The 11,335-nt window shown below is 49.6% G+C and overlaps 2 protein-coding genes across 2 annotated transcripts in view, besides 4 other annotated features; one reads left to right on the forward strand and one right to left on the reverse strand.

Moving 5' to 3' along the window:
* The window catches only part of PAH (phenylalanine hydroxylase), a 121,553-nt gene extending 117,990 nt beyond the window's left edge, over positions 1–3,563 (reverse strand). Inside the window, exon 1 of the mRNA NM_001354304.2 lies at positions 3,317–3,563. The gene's annotated coding sequence lies outside the window, so the exon portion shown is untranslated. The remainder of the gene's footprint in view (positions 1–3,316) is intronic.
* Positions 2,796–5,635, forward strand: ASCL1 (achaete-scute family bHLH transcription factor 1). Its single transcript, NM_004316.4, has 2 exons — positions 2,796–4,124; positions 4,484–5,635. The coding sequence occupies exon 1, from the start codon at positions 3,367–3,369 to the stop codon at positions 4,075–4,077; it is 711 nt and encodes a 236-aa protein (NP_004307.2). The 5' UTR covers positions 2,796–3,366; the 3' UTR covers positions 4,078–4,124; positions 4,484–5,635.
* Positions 3,263–3,794: an enhancer, noted in NCBI's record as "H3K27ac-H3K4me1 hESC enhancer chr12:103351919-103352450 (GRCh37/hg19 assembly coordinates)". NCBI's record gives its function as "activates a minimal SCP1, AML or CMV promoter by ChIP-STARR-seq in naive H9 embryonic stem cells {active_cell/tissue: H9 hESC(naive)}" and the evidence as "EXISTENCE:reporter gene assay evidence [ECO:0000049][PMID:30033119]".
* Positions 3,433–3,502: a silencer, noted in NCBI's record as "silent region_4775". NCBI's record gives its function as "represses an Ori minimal core promoter by ATAC-STARR-seq in GM12878 lymphoblastoid cells {active_cell/tissue: GM12878}" and the evidence as "EXISTENCE:reporter gene assay evidence [ECO:0000049][PMID:35858748]".
* Positions 3,795–4,326: an enhancer, noted in NCBI's record as "H3K27ac-H3K4me1 hESC enhancer chr12:103352451-103352982 (GRCh37/hg19 assembly coordinates)". NCBI's record gives its function as "activates a minimal SCP1, AML or CMV promoter by ChIP-STARR-seq in naive H9 embryonic stem cells {active_cell/tissue: H9 hESC(naive)}" and the evidence as "EXISTENCE:reporter gene assay evidence [ECO:0000049][PMID:30033119]".
* Positions 5,672–8,262: an enhancer, noted in NCBI's record as "VISTA enhancer hs1574". NCBI's record gives its function as "enhancer in: neural tube[6/6] | hindbrain (rhombencephalon)[4/6] | midbrain (mesencephalon)[5/6] | forebrain[5/6]" and the evidence as "EXISTENCE:transgenic organism evidence [ECO:0001131][PMID:17130149]".

The following is an 11,335-nucleotide window of genomic DNA, read 5'->3' on the forward strand; positions in this document are numbered from 1 at the left end:
AAGTGGAGATGACAGTGTTGAGGTGCAAACTCCAGGTTTACTTGAGTGGGGGGAGGAGAACGCCTCGGTTCTTGGAAGGCTTTGCAAAGCATGTAAGGAAGAAAACTTAGCATACTAGGGTGAGAAGAGTGAGGTCAGGCTCAGGGCTGGCATAGGGAGAATAGAGACAAATGTTCTGGCGGTTTTGGCCAGAAGGATCCCAGCAACGACTGTCCTTCCTCCTGGCCTGAGGCCAATGAGTAAGGCCACTACAAGACAAGGCTTCTTCACTACAATGCACTTCCACTCCATTTGGGCACCCATTTCATGGTGTGTGTAGGGGGGAGGAGGAGAGGAGGTTCTGTCCTCTACTTCCCTGGTATTGAGATCTCTGTGTATGCATCCTGGAAAAGGAAACACGTGCTGGCTACCAGCAAATTTTCTAAGCTGTTAGATACAAGTTTCAAAATTAGCTACTGTACATCCCTTGTGTGTAGATCAGAAAACTGAGGCCAGTAGAGGCAGAGGGACTTGTTCAAGGTTATAAGGCACCATTGTGGTAGAGCTCAGACTCGGGACCTTTGTGAAGTGAGTCCAAGTTAGTAGGGAGTTTGGGGCTCATGTTTCAGCTTAATGTAAAAGAAAACACATCTAGATGCTTCCACATTTGCGACACTCCCTCCCACCCCCAACACTCAACTATTTGGCTGAAATAGAGTGAATGGGGCATTAGGACACAGCTGGGTCATGTGGGAGGTGGGTAAGGAGTGCCTGAATAATTCCTATTTCTGCAAGTGGTCTGAGGCTTACTCTGGCTGGGAGGTGCAGGGTGCCCAGGCTGTGTTGTGACTCTGCTTTTGGGTGCTCACCTCCTATACTTCCAGAGACCTCTTAGGCCCTTTCCTTGGTCAGGGATGTGGAGAAAGGCCTGAGGTGTGAATCCCACGGGGTTCAGCCAGTCCTGTGAGGCCATCAAGCCACAGGTTACCATGGGGAGAAGGGGCTGTGTGGCTGGGAAAGGTTACAGAATTGACCTCTGTTGGCACGATTTGGTCCTATACCTCTGAAGCCTACCTATTCTGCAAAGATGAAACTGAGGTAGAGAAGAGAGGTGATTCACTTCGGGAGCCGCCCGTCATTACTGCCCACCATCATCACTATTGTTCCAGAAACACTCAGCCAGCCCACATACCAAGAGCAGCTCCCTGGGTCATCCCCTTGGCCCTTTAGAAAGATCCACCTCCACAAAGGGGAGTTCAATTAGAACCAATTATCCGGATAATTCACCACAATCATTCCTGCACCCAGATCTCGGATTATTTCTACTGGAAAATCAAATGGATGATTGCCCTCCACTTCGTTCTGCCTATGTAGACAAGACCTGAGACATGCCCCAGCCTCTCTCCGGACCAGATCCTTAAAGAGATGGGGCCTATTGCTTGGTCTGCTTTCTCCGCAGCGCCGCGTCCCCAGACGTCCTGAAGCTGGACGGGGTTCTGGCCAGAGAGCGCCAGGGCCGAAGGCCCAGGAAGGACGCCTGGGCAGGCGCTGTCCAAGCGGTCGAGCGACGGCTGCAAGCGCCTCCCCCTCCCTCTCGGCGCCAGCACGCGGCCCCGCCGGGCTCCGCTCCCAGTCGCCTGCCACCGGGCCGCCGGGCACACGCCTGGGGCGGGATGGTGGCTGCGCCAAGGCCGCCGAGGTGCCCGCGGCGGCGCCGAAGAACCAGGAATCCCCACCAGTGCCCTAAGCGCCATCACTCAACCCCCGCCCCGCATCTTTCTTCTCCGAGGGTCTGGGAGTATCCCAGAGCACTCCCTTCTTTATGATATCCGCTAAGCTGGTCCGGAAATAATCTTTATGGGGAGGGGGTGGCGGTAGGGGGCGATGGTACAGGGGGCCAGAGGTCATCCTAGGGGGACGTCCCTGCCATATACACCCACCTACAGGACGGCTCACAACCACTCCTCGGTGTCGCTTCCCCGCGGCCCCCCACACACTTGCTCAGTTATGGGGAGCACATCCTAGTTTTTAGAGCTGAATGGGACATTAGAGACCATATTCTGTGGCTGCAGACGAGGAAGCGAAGGCTCAGAGAGGATGCCACTTCGAGGAGCCACAGAGCATTGAGAGGACGCCTTGGGACTAGAACCCACGTTTTCACATAGTCCAGCACTTTTTTTCACTGTTCTGGACGGAGTCCCTCCCCCAACCATGTTTCTAAACTTCAATCGTAATTTGCTCCAATTTCTAGGGTCACCGAGGAACCCGAAGAGAATAACAGTGAGGAGAGAGAGAAAACAGGAAAAGTCGAGCCCCACTCCCTCCTCACCTCCACACCGTTCCTGTGCCATTTTTTCTGCCCAAACCCTTCCCTGCGCTTTGCTTCAAGTTCTTAGTAGAATCCAAGAGAGCTTCACCCCAAGTCTTTCCACCTATACACCTCAATTCCTAGAGCCATTTGTCCCTCCTGTGACGCCCCCCACCCCCTTCCTAAAGCCACCCCCGGCAGCAGCCCGCCCCGAGCGCGCCGCCTGTTTATTCAGCCGGGAGTCCGGCACGCGCCAGGCGCACGCACTGCAACAACAAACCCAGCTGAATGGAGAGTTTGCAAGGAGCGGGAGAAAGGAACGGGAGGGGGGGAGAGGAGAGGAGGAGGGGGAGTTTAGGGAGTGGGTGGGAGGAAGAGGTAAGAGGAGGGGGGGGAGTGGGGGCTGCAGCCGCTCGCTGCAGCAGCGGGGAGTGGGGGGCGAGGCGGGGCCAGGGCTGCGCGTGGGGCTGGGTGTCCCATTGAAAAGGCGGACGCACTCCGGCAGCCCAGCACTCTCTCACTTCTGGCCAGGGAACGTGGAAGGCGCACCGACAGGGATCCGGCCAGGGAGGGCGAGTGAAAGAAGGAAATCAGAAAGGAAGGGAGTTAACAAAATAATAAAAACAGCCTGAGCCACGGCTGGAGAGACCGAGACCCGGCGCAAGAGAGCGCAGCCTTAGTAGGAGAGGAACGCGAGACGCGGCAGAGCGCGTTCAGCACTGACTTTTGCTGCTGCTTCTGCTTTTTTTTTTCTTAGAAACAAGAAGGCGCCAGCGGCAGCCTCACACGCGAGCGCCACGCGAGGCTCCCGAAGCCAACCCGCGAAGGGAGGAGGGGAGGGAGGAGGAGGCGGCGTGCAGGGAGGAGAAAAAGCATTTTCACTTTTTTTGCTCCCACTCTAAGAAGTCTCCCGGGGATTTTGTATATATTTTTTAACTTCCGTCAGGGCTCCCGCTTCATATTTCCTTTTCTTTCCCTCTCTGTTCCTGCACCCAAGTTCTCTCTGTGTCCCCCTCGCGGGCCCCGCACCTCGCGTCCCGGATCGCTCTGATTCCGCGACTCCTTGGCCGCCGCTGCGCATGGAAAGCTCTGCCAAGATGGAGAGCGGCGGCGCCGGCCAGCAGCCCCAGCCGCAGCCCCAGCAGCCCTTCCTGCCGCCCGCAGCCTGTTTCTTTGCCACGGCCGCAGCCGCGGCGGCCGCAGCCGCCGCAGCGGCAGCGCAGAGCGCGCAGCAGCAGCAGCAGCAGCAGCAGCAGCAGCAGCAGGCGCCGCAGCTGAGACCGGCGGCCGACGGCCAGCCCTCAGGGGGCGGTCACAAGTCAGCGCCCAAGCAAGTCAAGCGACAGCGCTCGTCTTCGCCCGAACTGATGCGCTGCAAACGCCGGCTCAACTTCAGCGGCTTTGGCTACAGCCTGCCGCAGCAGCAGCCGGCCGCCGTGGCGCGCCGCAACGAGCGCGAGCGCAACCGCGTCAAGTTGGTCAACCTGGGCTTTGCCACCCTTCGGGAGCACGTCCCCAACGGCGCGGCCAACAAGAAGATGAGTAAGGTGGAGACACTGCGCTCGGCGGTCGAGTACATCCGCGCGCTGCAGCAGCTGCTGGACGAGCATGACGCGGTGAGCGCCGCCTTCCAGGCAGGCGTCCTGTCGCCCACCATCTCCCCCAACTACTCCAACGACTTGAACTCCATGGCCGGCTCGCCGGTCTCATCCTACTCGTCGGACGAGGGCTCTTACGACCCGCTCAGCCCCGAGGAGCAGGAGCTTCTCGACTTCACCAACTGGTTCTGAGGGGCTCGGCCTGGTCAGGCCCTGGTGCGAATGGACTTTGGAAGCAGGTAGGTTGCATTTTGGGGTGGGCAGGGGGGTATTCTTGCCTTCGTCCTCCCTCTGAGTGTCTGTGGAAGTGGGGATGTCTCCAAGGAGATAAGGGGATTTTTATTTAAAGAATTTGTGAAAGTTGGTCGATTTCAAGTCCTAGTTTGTTAGTTTCAGCACTGGCCTCTGAAAATGGCCTTGCCCAGGTCTCCAAGGAGTGAAGGGTAGTAGTGAGGTGCAGAGATACTGGTGAACCGAATACTGGGACATGTTAAAAGAGATGTCTACCTGACAGACTCTTTCCCCAGACCTCCATCTCCCTCTACCACTAGCCTACACGTTCAAATTAACCTCTCCTGTTCTTTTCCTTATGTTATAGGGTGATCGCACAACCTGCATCTTTAGTGCTTTCTTGTCAGTGGCGTTGGGAGGGGGAGAAAAGGAAAAGAAAAAAAAAAGAAGAAGAAGAAGAAAAGAGAAGAAGAAAAAAACGAAAACAGTCAACCAACCCCATCGCCAACTAAGCGAGGCATGCCTGAGAGACATGGCTTTCAGAAAACGGGAAGCGCTCAGAACAGTATCTTTGCACTCCAATCATTCACGGAGATATGAAGAGCAACTGGGACCTGAGTCAATGCGCAAAATGCAGCTTGTGTGCAAAAGCAGTGGGCTCCTGGCAGAAGGGAGCAGCACACGCGTTATAGTAACTCCCATCACCTCTAACACGCACAGCTGAAAGTTCTTGCTCGGGTCCCTTCACCTCCTCGCCCTTTCTTAAAGTGCAGTTCTTAGCCCTCTAGAAACGAGTTGGTGTCTTTCGTCTCAGTAGCCCCCACCCCAATAAGCTGTAGACATTGGTTTACAGTGAAACTATGCTATTCTCAGCCCTTTGAAACTCTGCTTCTCCTCCAGGGCCCGATTCCCAAACCCCATGGCTTCCCTCACACTGTCTTTTCTACCATTTTCATTATAGAATGCTTCCAATCTTTTGTGAATTTTTTATTATAAAAAATCTATTTGTATCTATCCTAACCAGTTCGGGGATATATTAAGATATTTTTGTACATAAGAGAGAAAGAGAGAGAAAAATTTATAGAAGTTTTGTACAAATGGTTTAAAATGTGTATATCTTGATACTTTAACATGTAATGCTATTACCTCTGCATATTTTAGATGTGTAGTTCACCTTACAACTGCAATTTTCCCTATGTGGTTTTGTAAAGAACTCTCCTCATAGGTGAGATCAAGAGGCCACCAGTTGTACTTCAGCACCAATGTGTCTTACTTTATAGAAATGTTGTTAATGTATTAATGATGTTATTAAATACTGTTCAAGAAGAACAAAGTTTATGCAGCTACTGTCCAAACTCAAAGTGGCAGCCAGTTGGTTTTGATAGGTTGCCTTTTGGAGATTTCTATTACTGCCTTTTTTTTTCTTACTGTTTTATTACAAACTTACAAAAATATGTATAACCCTGTTTTATACAAACTAGTTTCGTAATAAAACTTTTTCCTTTTTTTAAAATGAAAATAATCAGCTGACTCTAAGCTTTCTTTGACTCTGATGCCCCTGGTCCAGTTTTATGAAAATGTCAAAGGGAAGAGGTGGATGGAGAAGAAAATGTTGCAAAACATGCTAAGTGGCAGAAATGACAATGATAAGTGCTATGGCCAGTCCCATCCAAATGGTTTCTTTATGATGAATGAGTGTGTGTTTGTGTGTGTGTGTGTGTGTGTGTGTATGTACATGTATATATGTTTTCTTTCTATCCTATGCTGCAAATGTACATGCCCACCAAAAAGAATAGATGGCTGCATTATCCTTTGATCAAAATTTAAAATCCCCCAAAAAAGTGAACCAGAAAGAGAGGGTCCTCCACCATTTTCCAATTCTCAACTCCATTCTGAGTTTCTCCCTGTGAAACTATGGTGGGGCTGGATGAAATAATGGAGACTAGGTCTGGGTGGGGAGGATGGTGGTTCTGGGATGGGGGTTGGAGAGGCATCCCTCTCCACATACAAGCTCCTAGTGGTGAGTATGTTTCTCTTCCCTCACTTCCAGGCATACATTTTCTACTCATTTTCTCCAATACACCTACTTGCTATATTGATTTTAAGTAAGAGGCATATATGATATGAATTCATTCCAAACGGATTGAGATTTTAATTAAAAAAACGCATTAGAAATGTGTGGTCGCTTTGAGACACTGGTCTATCTAAGCTTGTGACTCTATCCGAATAGCGTGAGCTGCGTGTAAAAGTACCCAATTACCAAGATTCAAAAAGAAATTGGTGGGTTTTTGGCTGGCTTGCTTCTTGTCAGTTAGCAAGGACGTGATTAGAATCCTACTCGGCCTCTCGCCGGCTCCTCGCTCGCCGCCTGCATTACTTGCAGATTCAGTTTGCGTGTCTCCAGCCAAGCGGAAAGCCGAGCGCAAAATGCATCTTACAAAACCCAACAAAGAACGGGTAGCCAGCACGTCTTCCAGAGTTAAAAATCTAGTCTGTGTTGGTACATCTATACCATTTAGTGGCACAGAATAATCATTTTTTAAAGCCACGATGCGCGGAGCACGCCACAGCGTCTGATGTCATTTTGCTAAATGACCCTCTATAGAATGCACATTGAGGCTTCAGTCCCTTTCAAAGAGATGAGCGTAATTAAGGAAAAAAAATCAGTAAATTCCTCATCGCCATAAATAATCGGACTTTCTGCCAGCAGTGGGCCAATTTAGAGCTTACTTGAGAGAAGTAATGCTTTTGTGATGCCTGCTTTTATTTTTATCTTCTCATTTGGAGGACCAGAGATGGGCTCCACCCCCACTCTCCATTTCTCTTTCCTTTAATTTAGCTCCTTTGCAAGATTCCAGATAAGGTATGCAAAGAAAGTGTAGCAAGTCATTTATGGCTATGAATATAACATTAGGATAATGTTTCAGCCCCCACAAAGGGGGATTTTTTTTTCCTTCTCCTGTGAGGACAGGTGTTCTTTACTCACTTCTGAATGGGAAATATCCAGTCTCGTTAAACTCGAGGCAAAGTTAGTCGTTGTTTGCCACAATGCGAAGGCAAACTCGAAAAATTCACAAAAACACACACAATTTTGCCTAAGCTAGGAAAGGGCAAAGCGAGGATTGGGCAAAATCTCATTACATCTGCTCTAATCGCTTAGCAACACAAAGCCGGGGCTTGTGCGGCGAAGGGAAGCCATTCACAGAGCTCTGACAGGCCGCATTCAGCGCGCGTTAGTCAGCTCCATAAATCACCGCTGCCCATTGGCTGCGCGGCGGGCTTTGGAGCGGCCCTGGGCTGTCAGCGAAATACAAAATGTAGACCCCAGAGGCTAGCAATAGTAGCCTCTCCCCCGTCTTAGCCCCCACCCATTTTTCTTTTCTTTCTTTCTTTCTTTCTTTCTTTCTTTCTTTCTTTCTTTCTTTCTTTCTTCCTTCCTTTCTTTCTCTTTCTTTCTTTCTTTCTTTCTTTCTTTCTTCTTTCTCTTTCTTTCTTTCTTTTTCTTTCTTTCTTTTCTTTCTTTCTTCTTTTTTCCTTTTTTTCTTCTGTCTTCTTTCTTTTTTCCTTTTTTTCTTCTTTCTTTCTTTTTTGAGAGAAAGAGGAGGGGAAGAATGCTGAGGTAGAAAACTGCGTTGACTTTATTGACTGAGAAATCTTACCTATTCAACAAAGGCTTGGAGACCACCGAGTTAAGACTGAAGACACGCCCGAAATCGACGAGGAGGAGCGGGGAGTGCGGGAGAGAAAGAAAAAACAGACCTGCCGCGAGCTGCAGAGCTGTTGAATGGCACACATCATCAGAGGCTGGGAGAAAGCTATTGGTGCACAGGTTTCACCTCTCTGACACAGTTATTTTAACATTTTAAATTGAGAGTAGGAGGAGATGCATCAAGAAGAATCTATCTCGAGTTCACATCAGGCAGGACCCACCAAGGAAGAGAGAAGAAACTATTCTGTGGTTTGCAAAGAACTTCAAAGGAGTAAGACTGAGATGTCTTAAGAAAGAGCAATAGAACGTGCCTTTCCACTTCACCGTTCTTGCAGTGCTGGGGATGTTTAAACACAGAAGTAACAGCCCAGTTCCTTGATATACACAGGAGCTAGGTGAAGCCATGCAAAGGAGTTAAGAAAAGGCTTGATGGCAGAGATTACAAGCTATATGTAAATGTTATCCCCTGCTGTTGTTGCTATTCTTATCTTCCAGTCCTTTATCTCATTTTCCTGGGGACTGGTCAGATGCATCTAGATCACAGCCCAAATTGGATTCTTACCCACAAACCACGTAGAAAAACCCTGATAGTAGATGTGGAATCAAGGGAGATTTTTCTAAGAAGCCCAGATTGCCTTAACTCAAGTGCCACCTCCTCCAAGAAGCTTTTCCTGACCACCCTCTTTAAAGCAGCTCTCCATCTGCTACAATCAGTCCATTAATCCTGTTGTTCCTTCCTGGCATTTACCACTATCTGAAAATGCTGTATCTTTGTTTGGTTATATGATTATTGTCAATTATCCCCTACTACATGGTAACCTCCCTGAAGCTAGGGACCTTACTTGTCTTGTCTTGTCTTCCCTGCCCCTGGTAAGATAGGTATTTGTTGACTAAATGGACAAATGGGGATGGTTTTCTCTGCTTCACTGAAAGTTGTTTCTTATTCTTCCTTTCCCCTCCACTTGCACTCTCCACCCTTCTCTGCTCTTCTCTCTGTCTCAGGAGGCAGGCTTATCTTTATGGATTTCATCACAAGAGTTGTGTGTCCTTCTGGCTTCTTCTTGGGTTTGGCCAGTGGGAGACACCAGCAGGAGTTGGCAAAGTAGGAGGGGATATAGGTTGGGATATTTTTATCCCTGCTCCATCCCTGCCTAGGCCCTATTGCTTTGCCTGTAGCTCTACTCCTTGTCCTAAGGCTAGGGCTGTTGTCAGGAGGCTTCTCTCCCGCAGATACACCTCTTGCTGAAGTCCAGTAACAACTCCCTTCTCTTGCCCTTTAATAAGGCCCAGAGGTGGTAACAGCTCTCCCTTGTTCCTAGTCTCCGGGTGCAGCATCATTTTTGTTAACCTCACCAACATCTCTGTCTTTCTGTTAAACTTTTTCATTTACCCTTGTGCCATCATCTCTCTTTCCGACTCTGCTACACAGGCCGTTTCCCCATAGGATCTCATGGATATACTAGTTTTGTTTAAGATTTTTCAGGGACTCTTGGGGTTATGAGTAAGAAAAATCCTAGAGTATGGGTGAACCCAACTCCATATAACATGTAACTCTAGAAACATTACTTCATCTTTTTGAGACAGGAGTGAAGTCAATTACAGTTTTCTCTTCTGGAAAAACGAGAAAAATGATACCTTCCTTTGCATAGATCACCAGATGAACAGAAAATGAAAGGGCTTTAGAGCAACTAATGACTATATCAATGCAAGAGATACGTGCTTCTTAAGATCTTTCTGAACCAGGTAGTGGGGTGGTACTGGGTCTTGCCGTTAAGATCAGCAAAGCTGCTGCTGCTGTTGGAAGCCACCCCTACTTTCTTTCGCCCATTCATTCGCTCTGCAATTTATGCACTCACTTCAAAGGGGAGGGACAAATTATTAAATCTGGTCAACATTTCTAGAACTTAGTTGTGTTAATTTGTATTTTCTAGAGAGTGCTCTCCAAGAAGCATCAGTTATTGCAACTTCTTAAAAAAAAAAAAAGCAACACTGTGGATGCTTTTGTGGTGTAATAATCGTCCGCAACCTCAGGTCCTTTTACTTATTGCTGAAAAGCCTCTGAACTCCTTTCTCCCTCTCTCCACTCCTGAGCCAAGAAATAATTCTTTCCGGACTTCCCGAGAAGCTCCAGGTTATCCGGAGTCAACGGTAAGGAGGGAAGTGGATTCGGTGACACTAAGGTTCTTTACCCACTGCGAAAGCGAATGGCTTGGATCTAGCGCAGGTCGAAGTTATATTCCTTCTTCCTTTGTATGCAAGATTAGGTTGTTACAAAAGAGGGTGTGTAGGTTAATGGCAGGAAGCAAGTTGCAGCGCGGAGCGCGGGCCCTGAGCGCGTGTCAGGCTTAATGATTTATTCAAGCTGCAGCGCATCCGGGCGTTGATTGGCTGCAGGCATGCGTCCGCTGTCAGCTGCGCGCGCCGGGAACTCTCCAGGCTACCTGAAGCTGGGGGGAGGAAGAGGAGGCGTGGGGACCCGAGGGGAGAGGTGTGAAAAGGAGGAACAGGTAGGAGTAGGGGGTGAGAGAGAGAAACAGGGATAGAGCAAGAGAGACATAGAGAGAGAGGAGAGAAGGCAAGGAAGGAAGGAGAAGAGAGAAGGGAAGAGAAACTCAAGCGTAGGTTGCGGGGGTGGGAGAGAGGAGAGAGGAAAAGATGGAGAAAGCAGACGAGAAAAACAAGAGGGAGAAAGAGAGAATAAAGGAGAGGCGAGGATAGGAGAATAAATGAGAGAGAGCATAGAGAGAGGCTGGAGACAGGAGTGGGACGCGCTCCCAGAACGTCCCGCGTGCGCCCCCCTCTAGGCAGCCAGCGGGCGGCCGCTTACAAAGCCGCCTTTGATGCTCTGGCTACCAGGGCTATTTTGGGGACGAGATGGGGGAAAGCCGCCAACCCACACTCCTTGGAGGGAGTCACTTTCTGCAAAGTGCGTTGGAGAGGACTGGGCCCTGGGTCCGGGCTGTCGAAGCAGGAAGTGGATGTAGGGGACAAAAGCTCCGCACCTGCCAAATGCGAGACCTTAGAGAGAGCCTCCCCCTCGCCGCTCCCTGCTCCCCCGCGGGCCCGGGAAGCTTGCACTACCGGGCTCAGCGCAGCCAGCCCCACCGCCTCCGGACTCGACCCCACCATAGCCCCGCCGTCCGAATCGTCTCTGAACCAAACTACTTCTGCCTGCCTTTCTTTGGATCTGTCTTTCTCTGTCATCTGAGTCACTTTCTCTCTCGCCTCTCTTTTCTTTCTTCTTTTTCTTCTTCCTTCCCCTCTTCTTTCTCACTCATTTGTTCTTTCTTTTCTGTCATCATTATTTACAATTAACAAAACCCCGGACACTTCTAGATTGGAGCTCTGCTCAGCCGGTGGACTCTTTGGAAAGAGGGAGGATAGTGGGGAGAAAGAGCAGAAGAAAGATATTGCTGGGGGAAGAGAGTGACATTTGAAAATTGAATGAAAAAACCAGCCTACTGTGTGCATTTTCCTGGATGAAGTTCTTGAGCCTGCAGGGTCAGCAGT

The sequence above is a fragment of the Homo sapiens genome, chromosome 12 (assembly GCF_000001405.40).
Source record: "Homo sapiens chromosome 12, GRCh38.p14 Primary Assembly".
NCBI classification, from domain to species: Eukaryota; Metazoa; Chordata; class Mammalia; order Primates; family Hominidae; genus Homo; species Homo sapiens.